Genomic DNA, 21089 nt, shown 5'->3' with positions numbered 1-21089 from the left:
TAATATAATTAAAGTTGTTCATATTTTTATTGTTTTAAAGGGTAGCCATGGCTCTGATGATCACTGAAATCTGAATGTTCCTGACAAAGTAATCACAATACAATCATTTGCCCAGGTGAAATATGTCACAATCATCTAAATACTAGTAAATAAATGACAAGCAAAGCCAAGAGAATAGAAACTTTGTTCCTAGAATCTTGGGTGGTCTTCATTCTTTTTCCCTAATTGACTTAACCCAGTGTGATGGTTAATACTGCGTGTGAACCTGATTGGATTGAAAGATGCAAGGTATTGATCCTGGGTGTGTCTGTGAGGGTGTTGCCAAGGGAGATTAACATTTGAGTCAGTGGACTTGGAGGGGCAGACCACCCTTAATATGGGTATGCACCATCTAATCAGATGCCAGCATGGCTCGAATATAAAGCAGGCAGAAAAATGTGAAAAGATTAGACTGGCTTAGCCTCCGAGCCTACATCTTTCTCCCATGCTGGATTCTTCCTGCCATCAAACTCCAAGTTCTTCAGCTTTGGGACTCGGGCTGGCTTCCTTGCTCCTCAACTTGCAAACGGCCTATTGTGGGACCTTGTGATCATGTGAGTTAATACTCATTACTAAACTCCCCTTTATATTTATATCTATCCTATTATCTCTGTCTTTCTAGAGAGCCCTGACTAATACAACCAGTATTGACCAAAAAGTCTCCATACTTCTCATCCCCCAGCTTCTTTGCTGATTGTGGCCTGATTATTCATAGTAGAAGACGGCAGCCCCAAATCTTTTAGAAGTCCACTTATTACAGGAGTGGTGGGAGATGGCAGAATGGAAGAGAGCTGATAATGCCATTTTCCCATCATTTCTTTTCTCTTATTCTGCATCACTATCTTAAGACCTCTAGGTAAAACATCCTCAGAGAGCTCTTGCAACTTCTAGAAGAGTTTAAGTGACTCTCTGTCTTCAGGTTAGGCAAGCAGCTTTGACATTCCTCCAGCAAACTTTTTGAGAAGCTACTCTTTACCAGAATACAAAGTGCCTATACTTCAGAAGTTCATATAAGGCTATAAAGAGAAATGATCAGCACTAGACTAAATTTTATCTTTATATTAAAATTCCTCTTCCCTTTTCTCTCTCACATATATACATGTTCATTTGTTTCTTTTGGGGGAGAGGGGAATAGATAAGGAACTTCATGCTCTCCCTGTAAATAGGATTTATTGCTTTCAATGCAAAGGAGCCACTCTAAGGTATTTGTGGGAAGTTGCTATTGGCAGTTTCTGTTGCATACAAATTAGAAGAATGAGAACTTTCTTAAAGCTTCAGCATTTTCACGAATCTAACCACAGTAACAACATGGAAAAAATACCAAGTTAAACACAAATAAAGATGAAAATTCCTGAATTATGGATTCCTGAGACAGGTGATAATATAGATTCACCTGCTGTAGCAGGTTTATAAGGGCTCATGAGAGCCAAGTACTAAATTTTCAGAAATTGTGAAAGCCAGCAGTTAAATCTCTGATATCTTGAAATCAGCCAGAGGACATATTTACATGGAAATCAGCAAATGCTACAAATCAGGCTGTTTTTATTTACCTATTTTTGGTGAGGTGATTGTTAAACACTTACCAGCACACCTGGATGGAGGATGAGACTAGAACAGTCAAGGCCCAACCCTGCCAGGTAATGAGTACAAGAGATCCTTCCTTTCAGCCCCAAGTTAACTTCAAGCTACAGTTTTGCAAATCTGTAACATTTACTAAATCTCTTAGTTACCAAAAAGATTGGTAACCTGACATGTTAAATTTCAAAAAAAAGGAACGATCATAAAATGACAAAATATATTATATAAGAAGAACTCTAGCAGTTAGGTTGTAAATATGATTCAAGCTTTTACTTCAAATTTCTGAAATCCTCTTCCAAAAGTCATATTCCCTAGAACTATCCAAATCACCAGTCCTCAGTTCTGACTTCCAAATTTAGACAAAGTCTAAGTTCTGCAGGTGCTGTTTATTGAGTGTTTTGGCTGCAGATTCATCATCTGTAAATATTTCAAGAGATTCTGAAAGCACAGTATGCTTCAAAACAACCACCTGGACAAAACAGAACCTTTGCAGAGCCTAAAAGCAATTAGGGGATAAATATAAAAGAAACAAAACATTCTCCCTCTTTTTAATTGGAAATCTATATTAAGGATTGGGAATATACTTAGGTAGATTAAGAACATGCAGTGAAATTGAATTGATAAGATTGGGTAGCCCAATTAAAATTGTGATTCTATGAAATTTTCTTAATCAGTTTTAGGATTCACAATGTTTAAACTGCCAAATTTGGAACATTTACATTTAACAATTTAATGAAATAATCAGGAACATGAGCCATATCTTTATAGTATTTTCAAAATTAAATGTGGAGCATACAGATGTTTCGAAAATAAAAATAAAAGCCTATCTATATTATAAAGAGTCAGTCTTTTTCCCCAAAAAGAGGCAATGCCTTTGTTTGAGGTTAAGATTCAAGAAATAACAAATAATGGTGGTCAGCTTGACAATAGAAACTCACAATACTAAAAATAAACATGCCTCAAGTTTTCAAATAATAGAGAATACAATCATAATGAAAGATAAATTTTCCTTAAATGGCAATGCAACCTGATGCAGAGCAATTAATTTTGTGCCTAGAGATCCTTTATTTCTCTTCTGTTTGCAGTAGAAGCAGAGATTACACTAAACCACATATTTCAATGTGCTATTATTGGATGAATCTGTTTCATCCAAGGAGAGATCAAAGACGGATTAAATTTTTAACCATAACATCCTAAGGAAAAACATAATTTAAAACTTGAAAGAAGAAAGTTTAAATCTTCACTTGGGAATTTCCTCCCTCTATACAGAGAAGTGATTGACAAAGCAGTTGTATACATCTACTTAAACACATTATGCAAAAATTTACTATTATAGAAATAATAATTTAGGTGTATAAATCGTTAAAATATAGTGGTTTTTTCAATTTTATGAAAAGTTAGTATTACTCTATGTCAAGAAGGGTACATATTAAACAGATTAATAGGGATGTCAGCCAAATGATGGGATAGAATGTCCTCTGCTTGTATCCCCATCCCCCTACAATAACAAGAATTTGACAGCCATCTGTAGACAAAGTGCTATTGTGAGCCTTGGTTGGAGACTGAGAACCCTGGTGGAGCCCAAGACCTAAGAAGGCTGTCTTGAGAACAGGCTTGCACTCAGATGGCAGTGTCACTAACCATAATGCAGGCTACAGATGTGAAAAACAGCCTCATCTCCTTATGTATCAGATACAACTTCATTTGCCTTGGTTCTGCCACTAGAACCATCTGCCAAGGGACCTGAGAGGGGTCACACCCACATGAGTCTCAAATGATAGGCCCATGATCCCAGCAGCAGACCATGAAATTGCCTTGTAACTTGGCTCCAGCTCCTCTTAGCTGTGGTCTGCAAGCAGTTGTGCCTTCCTTGGGACCCACCAGTAGTCAGGCTGGTCTGTGACTTGCCAACCTCAGTCCCATACAGACCCTGAAAGAGCCCTATAACTCATCTCCAGTCCCTCTCAGCTGCAGCCTAAAAGCAGGTCTACTCAGTGAGGGACCTTCTAGAAGTCATACCCAGTCATGCCCTGGGAGACAGGCTTGCCAACCTTGGTCCCACAGTAGATCCTGAAACGAATTGGTAACTCGGCTCCAGCCCCTCTCAACTGTAGTCTGAGAGCATTCATGCCCACTCAAGAACATGCTTGAACTCACACTCATCTGTGTTCCAATAAACAGGCTTGCCAACCTTGGTCCCACAACCAATCCTGAAACAGCCCTGTAACTTGGCTCTAGCCTCATTCAGCTTTGGTCCAGTGGCAATTGTGTTTGCCCAAGAAACCACCAGGAGGCACACTCATCTCTGCCTCTGGAGACAGGACTGCAGATCTCAGTCTCAGCTCTGGATCCTGAAGCAGCCCTGTAACTTAATTGACCCCTCTCAGCCTTGATCCGGAGCCAGTACTGTCTCTTCAAGTACCTACCCAGTGACCCAGTAGAAACTCCCCTAGACTCAGAGGGAAACATACCCTTCTACATACCTAGTAACAGGCTCACCATCAGCCAAATCAACTGTGGACCCTGAAACAGAGCCTGGTCTCAGCACCACCCCTACTGACCAAGAACCTGGAGGCAGCTCAGTCTGCCCAAGGACCAGACAGGACCCACACCTGCTGGAGCCCCTGGTAACAGGCCTATCAAACATGGACCCAGTGCAGAACCAGCAGTAGCCATGTGACTCGATTCCAACCCCACTCAATCAACTGTGATCCCAGAGACAATCCCAACAGCCTAGACATTTAACAGAAAAAGATCTTTACCTGCCAAAACCAGTCTGTAAAGACTGAAAAATATGTTTGCTACTTCAGATACATAGACACCAACACGAGGCTTCATGAATGACAAAGAATCAGACAAACATACACCACCAAAGGAAACAAATAAAGTTCCAACCCCAAAGAAATTGAGATCTATAAATTGCCTGACAAGCAATTTAAAATAATGATCTTAAAGTAGCTCGATGAGATGCAAGAGAACACATGTAATTAAACAATACCAGGAAAACAATGCATGAAAAAATAAAAATTTTAATAAAGAAATAGAAACCATAAATAAGAACCAAACAGAAATCCTAGTGCTGAAGTATACAATAAGATAACTAAAAAAATACAATAAAGAACTTCAAGAGCAAACTCAATTATGCAGAAAAAAGAACAGTGAAATCAAAGTCAGATCATTAAAAATTAGTTGATTAGAGAAACAAAACAAAAAAAGAATAAAAATTAGTAAAGAAATCATAAGGGACAAATTGGGACATCATCAAACAAACAAATATACTAATTATGGGAATTTCAATAGAAAGAGACAGAAAACGGAGCAGAAAACTTATTTAAAGAAATAATGGCTTAGAACTTCTGAAATCTCAGGAGCGATAAGAACATTCTGATTAACGAAACTCAAAAGATCTCAAGTAAGATCAACCCACAGAAAAATACACCAAAACACATAATTAGATTGTCAAAAGTCAAAGACAAAGTGAGACTCTTGAAGGTAGTAAGAGAAAAGACACTCATCATATACAAGAAACTCACCATAAGGATGTCAGGAGACTTCTCAGCAAAAACCTTGTGGGCCAGGAAGGAATGAGATGATATATTCAAAGTTCTGAAAGAGAATAAAAATCCAACCAGAATACTACCAGCAAAAGTGTTCATCAGAAATGAAAGAGAGATAAAGACATTCCCAAACAAACAAAAGCTAAGAGAGTTCATCACCACTAGATATGCCTTACAAGAAATGCTGAAGAGATGTCTTCACATAACATGGAAAGATGCTAAGAAACTGTATTAGTCAGGGTTCTCTTAGAGGACAGAACTAATAGCAGACATTTATATATATGAGACATTTACATATATATAAATACATATATAAAGGGGAGTTTATTAAGTACTAATTTACATGATCACAAAGTCCCACAATAGGCCATCTGCAAGCTGAGGAGCAAAGAGAGCCAGTCCGAGTCCCAAAACTGAAGAACTTGGAGTCTGGTGTTCAAGGGTAGGAAGCATCAGCACAGGAGAAAGATGTAGACTGGGAGCCTAGGCCCACCTCTCCTTTTCATGTTTTTCTGCCTGCTTTATATTTCCCGGCAGCTGATTAGATTGTGTCCACTAGATTAAGGGTGAGTCTGCCTTCCCCAGCCCACTGACTCAAATGTTAATCTCTTTTGGCAACACCCTCACAGACACACCCAGGATCAATATTTTGTATCCTTCAATCCAATCAAGTTGACACTCAGTATTAACCATCATAGTAACAACATAAAAACGATAAACACATGAAAAGATAAAACTCACTGGTAAAAGTAAACATATAGTCAAGTCCAGAATACTCTAATACTCTAATGCTAGTGTGTATATCACTTGTTAACTCTAGATTAAAAGTTAGGGGACAAAAGTATTAAAAATAACTATAGCTACTATCATTTGTTAATGGATATTCAGTATAAAAATATTTAAGCCTGGCATGGTAGCTCACGCCTATAATCCCAGCATTTTGGGAGGCCAAGGCGGGTGGATCACCTGAGGTCAGGAGATCAAGACCAGCCTGGCTAACATGGTAAAACCCCATTTCTACTGAAAATACAAAAAATTAGCTGGGCATGGTGGTGTGTGCCTGTAATCCCACCTACTTGGGACGCTGAGGCAGGAGAATCGCTTGAACCCAGGAGGCAGAGGTTGCAGTGAGCCAAGATCGCACCATTGCACTCCAGCTTGGGCAACAAGAGCAAAATTCCGTCTCAAAAATATATATATATATATATATATATATATATATATATATATATATATATATATATATTTAAAGTGTGATATCAATCATATAAAATGTGAAGAAGGCAGAAGTAAGAGTATTGAGTCTTTTAATGCAATTGTAGTTACATTCTCATCAGCTTAAAACACAATGCTATAACTATAATATGTTTTATGTAAACTTCATGGTAACCGTAAGAAAAAGCCATGCCGGGTGCAGTGGCTCATGCCTGTAATCCCAGTACTTTGGGAGGCCAAGACAAGCATATTGTTTGAGCCCAGAAGTTCAAGACCTGCCTGGGAAACATGGTGAAACCCCATCTCTACTAAAATTACAAAAATTATCCAGGTGTGGTGGTGCGCCCCTGTAGTTCCAGCTACTTGGGAGACTGGTGCTGGAGACTTGCTTGAACCTGGGAGGCAGAGGTTGCAGTGAGCCACGATCACACCACTGCACTCCAGCCTGGTTGACATAGCAAGACCCTGTCTCGAAAGAAGGAAGGAAGGAAGGAAGGAAGGAAGGAAGGAAGGAAGGAAGGAAGGAAGGAAGGAAGGGAGAAAGAAAGAGCCACTAGTAGACACACCAAAGATAAACAGAAAGGAATCCAAGCATACCACTATAAAAAATCAACAACTCACAAGGAAAGATACCAACAGATATGAAAAGGAATAAAAAATCTAAAAAATAGTCAGAAAACAATTAACAAAATGGAAATAGTAAGACCTTACTTATCAATAATTACTTTAAATGTAAATGTATTAAATTCCCCAATCAAAAAACACACAGTGGTTGAATAAACTTAAAAATAAAATTCAACTATATACTGCCTACAAAAGGGTCACTTTAGCCTTAAAGATACAAACAGGCTAAAAATAAAGGGATGGAAAAGGATATTCCATGGAAATGGAAACCAAAAGAAAGCAGGTATGGCTATACTTATATCAAACAAAATAGACTTTCAGTCAAAATCTGTCATGACAAAGAGGTCAATATATAATGATATAGGGGCCAATTCATCAAGGGAATATGCCAATTATGAATAGTTCCACCCAACATTAGAGCAAATAAATACAAAAAGCAAATATTAACAGAACTGAAGAGAGAAACAGAAGCAACATAATAATAGTAGAAGACTTCAGTACTCCACTTTCAAAAATGAATAAATCAACCACACAGAAAACCTTTAAGGAAATAGCAGACTTGAATAGCACTGCAGACCAAATGCAGAACATTCCACCCAGCAACAGCAGAGTACACACTTTTCTTAACTGCACGCAGAATGCTCTCCAGGGTAGATCATATGTTGGGCCACAAAACAAGTCTTAACAAACTTAAGAAAGTGTAATCATATCAAGTATCTTTTCCAACCACAATGATATGAAACTAGAAATTAATAACAGGAATAATTTTGAAAATGTGTAAATTATGTGTAATTAACTGATATGGTATGGCTGTGTCCCCACCCAAATCTCATCTTGAATTGTAGTTTCCATAATCCCCACATGTCGTAGGAGGGACCCAGTGGGAGGTAATTGAATCATTGGGCCGGTTACCCTCATGCTGTTCTCATGATAGTGAGTGAGTTCTCACGAGATCTGATGGTATTATAAGGGGGTTTTCCCCCGTTTGCTCGGCACTTCTCGTTCCTGCCATCATGTGAAGAAGGATGAGTTTGCTTCCCCTTCCACCATGATTATAAGATTCCTGAGGCCTCCTCACCCATGTGGAATTATGAGTCAATCAAACCTCTTTTCTTTATAAATTACCCTAGTCTCGAGCAGTTCTTTATAGCAACATGAGAAATGACTAATACATTAACACACTACTGAACAATCAGTGGGCCAAAGAAGAAATCAAAAAGTATTTTGAGACAAAAATGAAAACACAACATACTCAAACTTATGGGGTGCAGCAAAAGCAGTTCAAAGGGGGAAGTTTATGGTGATAAGTGTATACATTAAGAGAAAAAAGAATGATTTCAAATAAACAACTTTATTTTACATCTTAAAGAACCAGAAAAAAAAAGCCCAAAGTTGGCAAAGGGGAGGAAATAATAAAGATTAGAACAGAAGTAAATGAAATAGAGACTAGAATGACAATACAAAAGATCAGCCAAACAAAGGGCCACGGTTTTTTAAAAAAAGAAAAACAAAATTGCCAAATTTTTATCTACACTAACCAAGAAGAAAAGAGAAAGGCTTGAATAAATGAAATTATAAAGGAAAGAGGAGACATTACAACTAATACCGCAGAAATACAAAAGATTATAAGAGACTACTATGAACAATTCTATGCCAACAAATTGGACCACCTGGAAAAAAATGGGCAAATTTCTAGATACATACAACCTACCGAGACTGAATCATGAAAAAAATAGAAAATCTGAGTAGACCAATGAGTAAGCAGATTGAATTAGTAATCAAAAACCTCCCAATAAAGAAAAGTACAGGACCAGATGGATTCACAGATGAATTCCACCAAGCATTTAAAGAACCAAGACTAATCCTTCTCAAACTCTTCCAAAAAATTACAAAGAGAGGAACACTTCCAAATTTATGAGGTTAGCATCACATGCACACTAAAGCCAGATAAGGGCACTATATGAAAATAAAACTACAGGGAAATATTGCTGAGGAACACAGATGCAAAAATCCTCAAAAGAATTATTAGCAAATAGGACTCAACAGCATTGCGTAAAAAGATTATACACCATGACCAAGTTGGAGTTATTCCTGGGATGCAAGGATGGTTCCACATACACAATCAATAAATACAATATACTACGTTAACAAAATGAAGGATGAAAACCATGCTATCATCTCAGTAGTTGCAGAAAAATCATTTGACAGAATTCAACGTCTATTTATGATTTTAAAACTTTCAATAAATTAGGCATAGAAGAAATGTACCTTAACATAATATAAATTATATATGATAAGCCCACAACTAACATCATATGAAAAGGTGAAAAGCTAAAAATTTTCCTCTAAGATCAGAAACAAGACAAGGTGCCCACTCTCACCACTTTTATTCAACACAGTACTGAAACTCCTAACCAGAGTAATTAGGCAAGGAAATAAAAGATAAAAGGCATCCAAATGAGAAAGGAAGAAGTTAAATTATCTCTGTTTGCAGTGACATAACCTTATATATAGAAAACACTAAAGTCTCCACCAAAATACTGTTAGATATAAATAAATAAATAAATAAATAAATAAATAAATAAATAAATAAATGGATTCAGTAAAGTTATTAAACACAAAATCAACATACAAAAATCAGTCACATTTCTATACACTAACAGGAATCTAAAAAGAAATTAAGAAAACAATCCCATTTCCATAGCATTAAAAACGTTAAGATACTTAGGAATAAATTTAACTAAGAAGGTAAAATATCTGTGCTCTGACAACCCTGAGACATTGATGAAGAAAATTAAAGAAGACAAAAATAAATGACAAGACATCCCATGTTCAAGGGTTAAAAGAATTAATATTGTTAAAATGTCCATACTACCCAAAGCAGTTCACAGATTCAATGCAGTCCCTACCTAGTCCCTACCAAAATGCCAATAGCATTGTGCACAGAAATAGAAAAAGCAATTCTAAAAGTGCGTATAGATCAACAGAAGGCTCCAAATAGCCAAAGCAATCTTGAGCAAAAAGAACAAAGCCAGAGGCATCTCAGTCCCTGGTTTCAAACTATATTACAAAGCTATGGTAATCAGAACAGTATGGTACTGGCATTAAAAACAGACAAGTAGACCAATGGGACAGAATAGAGAGCCCAGAAATAAATCCACCGATATATAGTCAACTAATCTTTAACAGGGGCACCAAAAAATACACAATAGGAAAAAAATAGTCTCTTTTTCCCTCTTTTCCCTAATAAATGGTGCTGGGAAAACTGGATATCCACATGCTAAAAATTAAAACTTGGCCAGGCACGGTGGCTCACGCCTGTAATCCCAGCATAATTTGGGAGGCCGAGGCAGGCGAATCATGAGGTCAGAAGATCAAGACCATCCTGGCTAACACAGTGAAACCTCGTCTCTACTAAAAACAGAAAAAATTAGCTGGGCATGGTGGCAGGTGCCTGTAGTCCCAGCTACTCAGGAGGCTGAGGCAGGAGAATGGCACGAACCCAGGAGGTGGAGCTTGCAGTGAGCCAAGATTGTGCCACCACACTCCAGCCTGGGCGACAGAGCGAGACTCCGTCTCAAAAAAATAAACACACACAAAAAAATAAAACTTGACAAAATCAACTTGAGATGGATTAAAGACTTAAATATAAGACCTAAAACCATAAAACTCCTAGAAGAGACGTTAGAAGAAAAGCTCCTTGACACTGGCCTTGGCAAACATTTTTAAATATGACACCCAAAGCACAAGGGAACAAAAGCAAACAGAAAAAAAAAATGGGACTAAATGAAACCAAAGGGCTTCTGCACAGCAAAGGAAACAATCAACAAAATGAAAGGGCAACCCACAGAATGCAAGACAATATTGGCAGACCATGTATCTGACAAAATGTTAATACCCAAAATATACAAGGAGCTTATATAACTCAAAAGCCAAAACAAAAAAAAAATTAAATGAGTAAAAGATCTGAAGAGACAATTTTCCAAAGAAGACATACAAATGACAAACAGGGATATGAAAAGGGGCTCAACATTAGAGAAATGCAAATTAAAACCACAAGATATCACCTCACACCTGCTTGGATGGTTATTATCAAAAAGATAAGATATAAGAAGAGTTATCAAGGCTGTGGAGAAAATAAAACCCTTGTACACTGTTGGTGAGGATGCAAATTAGTACATCTCTTATGGAAAAGAGTATGGAGTTTGCTCAAAAAAATTAAAAACAGAACTATTATATAATACGGCAATCCTAATACTGGGTATATACCCAAAGGAAGCAAAATCCATATCTCAGAAAGATATTGGCACCCCCAAGTTTATTGCAGCATTATGACAATAGCCAAGATACAGAACCTAAGTGTCCATCGAAAGATAAATGGATAGGGAAAATATAGTATGAATATATACAGTGGGATATTATTCAGCCATAAAATAGAAGAAAATCCTGCCATTTGGGTTGAATGTGGATGAACAAGAACATGATGCTAAGTAAAATAAACCAGACACAGAGAGACAAATACTGTATGATCTCATTTATATGTAGAATCTAAAAAACTTGAACTCATAAAAGCAAAGAGTAGAATGGTGGTTGCCAGAGGCTCAAGCATGAGGAAAATGGGGAAATATTGGTCAGAGTACAAACTTTCAGTTACAAGATGAATAAGTTCTGAGGACCTAATGTAAAGCACAGTAACTATAGTTAATAATACTGTGTTGTTTATTTGAAATTTGCTAAAAGAGTATGTCTTACATGTTCTTACCACACACACACACACACACACTCACATTTTTTGTCAATTATACCTGAATAAAGCTCTTAAAAACATAAACAGAATAACAGGTAGCATTTAGTAGGCAACTACTAATAGTACATATATGTAATGTGCTAAATGGTAAGAGAAATAGTTGTAAAAACAATGAAAACTAGTGCTGGATATCCTAAATACCTTGACTTGATCATTACATATTCTATGCATGTAACAAAATATCACTTGTATCCTGCAAATATGTACAAATATTATGTATCAATTTAAAAAATATTTAAAACCGAAAACCGAGAATGCAAAAATATAGTGTGACAAGTATGATTAAAAATTAAATATAATACATGTGCACAGAAAAAAGCACTGAAAGATAATATGCCCAAAACATTAGCAGTAGCTATTGATGTTACTAAGTATTATATGTTGTTCCTAAGTATTTATGCATATATATACATAAACAAATCCTAGCAAACAACAAATCCTAAGTATTTATGCATAAATACATACATGCATACATATATGACTACAGGCCACTTGTAATCAGAAAGCAATATATATTCAACTAAAAATTTGGGCTACAAATTTAAAAGTTTAAAACTTTTTAAAGTATAGATCTTCTGAAAATGCCTTAGCTACAGAAATAATACAGAAACTAATACTGTTTTATTTTTAGCTTATACCTTGGGGTTTTCAGAGAAAATATTTATTTGGCTTATAGAGACCCAAGCTTATCCCTGTGGTAAGCAGAATTGTAAGAATGGCCTCCAATGACCCTCATTCTTGCTTAATCTCCTTCCGTTTTAGTGTGGGTAGAACCCATGCATACAATTAAATATCACTCCTGTGATTATATTACCTTACATGGCAAAAGGGGGATTAATCTGGTGGGCCCAATCTAATCAAATTAGCCCTTTAAAAGTAAAGAGTTTTCTCCAGATGATGGCAGAAAGGAAGTTTGAAAGTCTGAGAGTGAGAAGGACTTGATGCACCGTTATGGCTTTGAAGACAGAGAGGACCACGTGAGAAGGAATGCAGGTAGTCCCTAGGAACAGCAAGCAGCCATGGCTGACAGCCAGCAAAGAAATGAGGACCTCAGACCTGCAGCCACAAGGAACAAGTTCCTGCCAGCAACCTCAGTGAGCTTAGAAGCAAATTCTTCCCCAGAGCTCAGCCCATGGACACACTGATCTCAGTCATGAGAGACCCTGAGCAGAAGAGCCCGTCCCCAGTTCTGACCCACAGAACAGTGAGATAACGAATTAGTGTTGTTTTCAGCTTCTAAGTTTATAGCAATTTGTTACACAGCAACATCCCTTCATACTGTTCTGTCACTAAGACTGAATCCAGGCAGGGTCATTTGGAGGTACATTTCCTTCAATAAATTTAGTCCCAAAAGAATAAAATTTCTGGCAGCATATTTGGAGACTTGAGGTCATTAACATTTTATATGATTTTAGTTCAATGTAGTCCATGATTCCAAAAGGCAATAGAATATTTTATGTTTAGAGTTTTTGCTTTGTTTTGCATTGAATATTGAGGCCAAACAATTTCCCAGAGATAATATTGCCCTCCCAATGTGCCAATCGTGGTGAAAATAATTTCATAACCTGAAATTTGTTTTACAGCCAATTTGGGGGGAAGTGAACAAATGCAATTAATAAGGCACAAGTGAATATGGCTATCTTTTTAATGATAAAAATTGAACATTCTTGAATTTCAGTAGTGAAATGGATTAATAGGAAAGAAAAATATTTCTGAAGACTCATTTTTTCCCTAGCGGCATTTACTGTGGTCGCCATTTTCTCCCAGTCATCCCTTGGAGCCGTCCATATTAGGACATCAGCTACCTAACCTGACAACCCTAAGGCTATGAACTAAATTAAAACTGAAATTTAATTGAAAAACTTTAGTGATTTTAGACTTCCTCTGGCTCCAGGTCTTCTCACTGTTCTTTTTGGCCTTTTCAGATCAAAGTCTCTCCGGAGAAGCGCTGTGCTTTACACTGACGGCATTATTATTATTACACCTACGATTCTATTTCCTGACTTCTATTGAGTTTTTTTTTCTAAATTCATTATGCAAAATAAAATCTGAATTTCCCTCCAACTCACCAAGCTTGTCACATGATCTGGACTAAATGATGTCTAATATTTCTTCCAACTATAATATTTGATGACTTAGACCTTTAACGTAAAGCTAGGATATAAACACATCTTTTCAAGAAAGTCAAGGGAATAAGTAATGTTGCCTGTTATAATTTGAAAAAAGTTCCTTTGAAGATCTCAGAAAACATTAAGGCAATACTGGCTGGTCTTTGATTGACCACAAGCACCCACAGGCTTCACATCATTTTTGGCATCTCTTTCCCCAGTGAGATGCTGCAGGCACAAAACATGGAACCAAGGAACTATGCTGAGCTAAGGCAGTTCCCCTTTTCTTTTAGATACATTTCTTTCAAATATTCTATTATCATTAAAAGACAGGACACAGGAACAGATCTGTATCTGTCTCCAAACCTAACTAAGGGTTGTAACAAATTTTCCACAGGCATTTTAATTGATCTTTCCATGAAATGTAAAGGCAAGGTATCTATTAGTTCCTTTCCTTTCATTTAGCAGTAAAATATTAGATAGGCAAGAGAAAAGGATGCGAAGCAATAAAAGATAGCAAGGAAACAGTCAGATTTTAATACATGGAATTAGGATGACTTGTAGTTTTATATTGCCAGGCTTTAAGAGAATTACCATATAATGATGGATATTTGGGGAAATCACCAGGATATGAAATTAATTTCTCAGCCTGGAACTTTAATTTGGCACATGAAGAATTAATACATAATTAAAACCAAATATCCTTTATTAGCCATAATTCTCCCCAGCAAAAATTATTTTGTTCGCCCACCCAGCAACCCTCATCTCCACTCTGAGGTGCTGATTCATGACATGGTGTCATCACTTGCCTTTATTTTTAAACTGAAAGAACTAATGTAATTAAACCCAATTTCATCTGTTGCTCGTAACTACAGAATCAAGTCAATAATTAAAAATAAGATTGGGAGATCCCTGCCCTACTAGACTTAGTTAAAAATATTTTCACAAGGAAGTATTTTATACCAGGATAAAGAAGAAAAGATTTAAGGATACAATCACCAACTTGTAAAAATGCATTTCAGTCTTTCAAGGGTAACTTTTCCTGCACAGAATACACACTTTTATGCCTCCATGTTTCAGATGCAACTGTTCCCTCATGCCCAGAACTCCTCATCCCCACACTTTTTTGTTAACTACATATCTCATTTTTTAAAGGCCAGTCCAGATGCTTCCTCCTTCCTAGGAATTCCTATATCACCACATAGCAGGTCATTCTTTCTAGTTCCCACTCTTACCCTTCTGTCACTGGTCATGCACTAAGCCTAGGCATTGGAGAAAAGTAATTTGGGTGTGATGCATTCATGAAGAGCTGATGGGCAGGTACTTTATATTATAAGCCAGAGAAGAAAGGCAGGTAAATGCTGCCTTAACATCATAAAGCCAGGTCATTCCTGAGAAATATTAGGAAGAAATGTTTCAAATATTTTAATTAATATGAAAATATTAATAATCAATATTGAAATATGAATTTCTTGTTTAAATGTGGAAGAAAATATCAAATATCTGATGAAGAGGTATCAATAATCAGGCTCTGGGAGGAAGCAGCTGCCAAACCAAGTAAAAATCCCTTATGATTTCCCTCCTGCCCTCAACGCTGACCCATTTACAGGATCCTCCTCACCTCTTTGCTCAGCAATGCCAATAGAGCAGAGGGGAAGAAGAAGCCTGGCATCCATCAGACAATGGAAGCAGAGAAATCAACAAAATTAATGAAGAGAATATGTGGATTGAGATTCATATACATGAGAGGATGGAAGAGAAATTCATGAAACATCCCAAGATAGAATCAGGACAACAAAAGGGCACCGAGAACACCTACAGGGAATAAGTTAAAGAGAAAATAAAAAGGGGAAGAAAGGAGTAAGGAACAGAGGAGTGTCTGTGCGGGACAGCCCTCCAAGGGAGGAAGCATCCAAGACAAGGAAGGTTAAATACCCTCACCATGGTCATCTCACTGGTCTCCTCCCTTAGGGTCACTGAGCAGCAAGGAGTATAAGTCACGGAAAAGGACTCTGCAAGACAACCAGGAAAACTAACTCCCCTACCCCTCCAAGCCCCACCCCCCGCCCAAAAAAGCGCTGCTCTTGGTTTGCACTTCTGTTTGACATTGATGACATTTTACTGTGCTTAGGTATTTACTTGTCTCTCTCTCCAAACTTATAGAAGAAATCGTGTTTCTCTTTTCCTCTGGTGTCAGACCCAGCCCTCTGCCCATTGTAGTTATTTGTAGTGAACACTGTGAATTGCCCACCAGTGTCCACTGCTTGCTTTTTTCGTTCTAGTGGAACCCTCACTTTGTTCAGGTAACACTCTTTCCAACTCCAATGGGACCATCCATGGGGTATAGGCCAGGCTTTAGGACTGAGTTTATTTTTTGTCTTTTTAATGACATAAATTCATCAATGGTGCTAGCTTGGATACTCATGCCCTAAATTACAGGTCTGGAGGTATTCAGCACCTCCTCTCCCTGAAATAAAGTTTAATTATTCCAGCTATAGTGATTGTTCCCCAGACAAAAATGCTTACTCATGACAGAGCTCAACAGTTACTGAGTCATGCACACACCCACCTCCAAGCCTGCCATGTTTCCTCATGTATTTGTCTCTTTGCCTCTTCTTCCCTTTCTGTGCCCTGGTCTCTTTATCTTGAGGGTTTTCTCTCGTCCACCTCTCTCTATCTTCTGCTGCTGTCTCCATTTTGCTATTCCTTCTCCTCCACTCAATTTTCTTTTTTGTTTCCTATTTCACCAGAATATTAAATGTAATTATTTATATATTTATTTGTGTTAATAAAGCTTTAGCTAATATCTGGTTTTTTTAAAGCAAGCGAGTTGAGCATTTTAATCTCTTTTTTGAAAACTCAATAAAATTGCTTTCTTTTATTTAAAAACTTCTCAATTGATTTTTACCTGAAGAGTCAGAAATACTCTATAGAAAAATAATTTCTTCAAAAGAAATATATCCCTTGAATTAATATCCAGAATACATAAGGAACTCAAAAAACTCAATAGCAGAAAAATAATAATAATAATCCAACTTTTAAAATGAGCAAAAGACCTTAATAAATATTTCTCAAAAAAAAAAAAAAAAAAGACATACAGATGGCCAACCTGGTATATGAAAAAATGCTCAACATCACTAATCATTAGGGAAATGCAAATCAAAACCACAATGAGATATGATCTTTCTCTAGTTAGAATGGCTATTATCAAAAAGACAAAAGATAACAAGTGTTGGCAAGCATGTGGAGAAAAGGGAACCCTTACACATTGTCGGTGAGAATAAAATTAGTACAACCAATATGGAAAACAGTATAGAGGTTTCTCAAAAAGTTAAAAATTGAAATATCATATGATCCACCAATCTCACTACTGGGTATATATCTAAAGGAAATGATATCAGTATGTTGAAGAGACATCTGCACTCCCATGTTTATTGTACCACTATTCACAATAGCCAATAAATAAAATCAGCATAACTGTTCATCAACAGATGAATAAAGAAAACAGCATATGTATATACACAATGGAATACTAATCAGCCATAAAAAAAGAATAAAATCCTCTCATTCACAACAATATGGATGAACCTGGAAAACAGTATGTTAAGTGAAATAAGCTAGGCACAGACAAATACTGCAGGATTTCAGTCATATGTAGAATCTAACAAAAAAATGATCTTACAGAAACAGAACAGTGGATACCACAGATTGGGAAAGGTAGAAAGAAGGGGGAAATGGGGAGAGATTGACTGGTCAATGGATACAAAGCTACAGCTAGATAGAATAAGTTCTGGTGTCCCATTGCACCATGACTATAGTTAACAATAATGTTTTGAATGTTTCTATATAGCTGGAAGAGAGGATTTTGAATGTTCTCACCACAAAGAAATAATAAATGTTTGAGGTGATAGATATGCTGATTACCCTCATTTGATAATTACATGACATATACATGTACATGAAATCCATCAACCTTGGCAGAAATGCCAGCAATTTTTCTGTTATTTTATATAGGTATATGGTGTGCAAGAAAAGTTATCTAATGTATCTGCGCTTATTATTAAAAATTCATTTTAAAAGATAAATACAGTGGTATAAACTGTACAATTATCCTTTAAGCAACCTCTTTCCACTGGGATAATCAGGAAGCTCCTCATTTACAACTAGAAAGTAGGAGTCCTGGCCCCTGTCTGTGCACAGAAGATTTTAAAGAAGTCATGAGAGTTTTAGAATCTAGCCTAAGGGACACATTAAATTTCCATTGTTCTTAAAGTGGCCAAAATAATATGCATTTTTAAACAACTTCCTGACTCAAAGAGCAGTTTTAAAGTGTGAAATCTGTAGACTAACAGGCTCCTTTTCTGAGAGGACAAACCTCCTAGTTACAGATAGTAAGTATACCCTCTCCTTGATGAAAATAAGGCCATCTTTCAAAGTAACTAGATTGATTTTTTAATCAGTTCCGCCAATCAAAAATGACCCTTACTATTCATTTAGGGATATGATGAAAACCTAGTAAAACCTCACACGTGACTCACTTTAGCCAGAAGCCTAATTAAAAGTCAGATTCCTTCTTCCTTACTCAGCCTCCACTAAATCATAACAATCAGGCCTGTGATGGTCGTCCCTGACCATACAGTACAGGTCGTGCCAAATTAGGTTGAATAATAATGGTAACTATTTATTGAATGGCAAATGCTTTATATGAATTCTCTCTAATATCCACAATAATGGTGAAGGGTAGAAATTTGTATCTCTATTTTATAAATGAGAGTACAGAAACCTGAAAATGTATAAATTGTTCAAGTACAGAATGCCAGGAGGGGAGAAAGCTGGGAATTAAACCAAATGTCCTAACTCCAAAATCCCGGTACCTCTTAAAGCCTCAGTCTCCTAACTTATCTATAAACTATATTTAGTTAAATAGGGTTATTGTTAAAATTTAAGGGAATAAACTACCTAGAATGTTTAGCACAGGGTTGGCACATAGCAAGTATCAATAAATGTTAGCTATAATTACCGCAGAGTCAAAATTAGCTTCACTCTGGTACTTACTCATGTATTTTGGCTTTCTGGGAAAACACAGGATAATTCTCATATGGCAACGAAGCCCTTCGGAGCCATTCCATTTTTATTACTGTTCTTCATATGACATTATTTCTAGCTCCCACGCATTCCTATTTGGTGAGGGATAGACTAGAGGGATCACTATACCTTTGGGTTCAATTAGCTGTGGTCAACTCAAATCTTGTTCACATAAATAAACGTCAAGCCAGCTCAGTTCATAATATATATTTACAACTGATTTGGGGATTCAAATGCAAACACTTAAAAGCATGTTTGTTAAATATCACCTTGCTATCCTGAACAGAGTAGATCACTAGGACTCTCAAATGATCCACGTGACTGACTGCAGAAAAGTTTTTGTACGTGCTAAATGCTCTCAAAGCAGGTATTCAATAGATATCAACTGTCCCCTCCATAGAGGGCTGCTTTTATCTAACCCCACAATATTGCACATAACACCACCACAGACAGCAACTCATACACATGCAAGAACACAGACCTCTTCAACTATTATTAGATTCTGTATAATCCACCCCCATGGAGTCTATATATGATCACTCCAATTCACACAGAAAAAAGTTCTAAATCCCATTACTGGGTATATACCCAAAGGATTATAAATCATTCTACTATAAAGACACATGCACATGTATGTTTATTGCAGCACTATTTACAATAGCAAAGACTTGGAACCAACCCAAATGCCCATCAAGATAGACTGTATAAAGAAAATGTGGCATGTATACACCACGGAATACCATGCAGCCATATAAAAGAATGAGTTCATGTCCTTTGCAGAGACATGGACGAAGCTGGAAGCCATCATTCTCAGCAAGCTAACACAGGAACAGAAAACCAAACACCGCATGTTCTCACTCATAAGTGGGAGTTGAACAATGAAAACACATAGACACAGGGAGGGAAACACACACTGGGGCCTGTCGGGGGGTTGGGGGGCAAGGGGAGGGAGAGCATTAGGACAAATACCTAATACATGCAGGGCTTAAAACCTAGATGATGGGTTGATAGGTGAGCAAACCACCATGGCACATGTATACCCATGTAACAAACCTGCACATTCTGCATATGTATTCCAGTATTTAAAGTAAAAAATAAAAAAAAATCCAAATCGTTTCTGCTTGTTTACATCAGAAAAGCAAGCCATTTATAGAAAGAATTCCTCCGAGCACAGAATACTCATGGAGAGGTTCCTCTCGGGTGGTAATTTGTGATGAACACTTCTGAGTTTGTGCTTCAACCTTAATTGTGCCCAGAATAGCCAAGAAACATGCATCAAGTGTCACTTCATCTTCCTGCATCCAAACCTTAAAAGTATCAGCAAAAGTTAGGTGCCAAAAGTTTGAACTGCATCAGTAGTTCTCAAATCAGCTACACTTTAGAATCACCTGGGGAACTTTTTAACAACACCAGCATCCAGGCCCCACCCTAGGTGGATTAGATCAGAAATCTCAGCTGGGGTTTTTTAAAAGCTCCCCAAAGCATTCTAATTTGAGTTGAGGCCAAATAGTCGCTAAAATCTCTTTCAATTCTTCCTTCATTCTAGAAATTCATTATATATTCTCCTCCTCTGAAGATGTTTTTCACAGCCTTGCCTACCCACCTTAAAAGTAAAAACCAAAAAACAATTATTCCACTCTCAATCACTTTCTATACGCACATTTGTTATGCTTTTACTAAACAATAGCAGTGTTTCCTCTAAACAAAAGGCACTTAGCCACAGCAAACTTAAGAGTTAAATGAGAGAAGCAGCTCCCTGTTTCTTTCTTTCTCAAATCGGAAAATACAGCTCAGACCTCATTCCTCTTTCCCTGCATTGCTGCATCCCATCCTTCTCCTGCGTGAATTCTGAAACCCTCCCACTTCCTCCCGGTGGGATCCACAGGGCTCCCATTATTCTTTCAGCCCCAAAAGGAAAACAAGCTACAAATCAAAACTGCTTGCTCCCTCAGCTCCTACCCCTGTAGACAAAATACTGAAAGCCAAACTATGAAATGTTAGAACAGGGAATCCTAAATTCAAGCATTACATTCCAATGTTTTTTATTTCCATAGGTTATTGGGGAACAGGTAGTGT

General features: G+C 37.1%; 1 long non-coding RNA gene across 1 annotated transcript in view; it reads right to left on the bottom strand.

Moving 5' to 3' along the window:
- Positions 1-5149: 5149 nt before the first annotated feature.
- The window catches only part of LOC107985165 (uncharacterized), a 110408-nt gene continuing 94468 nt past the window's right edge, over positions 5150-21089 (bottom strand). Inside the window, exons 2-3 of the long non-coding RNA XR_001753317.1 lie at positions 16498-16666; positions 5150-5223 (exon numbers count right to left, since the gene is read on the bottom strand). This is a non-coding gene — a long non-coding RNA (uncharacterized LOC107985165). The remainder of the gene's footprint in view (positions 5224-16497; positions 16667-21089) is intronic.

The sequence above is a fragment of the Homo sapiens genome, chromosome 18 (genome assembly GCF_000001405.40).
Source record: "Homo sapiens chromosome 18, GRCh38.p14 Primary Assembly".
Lineage (NCBI taxonomy): Eukaryota > Metazoa > Chordata > Mammalia > Primates > Hominidae > Homo > Homo sapiens.
The sequence above is the reverse complement of the archived record's forward strand: the minus strand, read 5'-3'. Positions and strand labels throughout refer to the sequence as shown.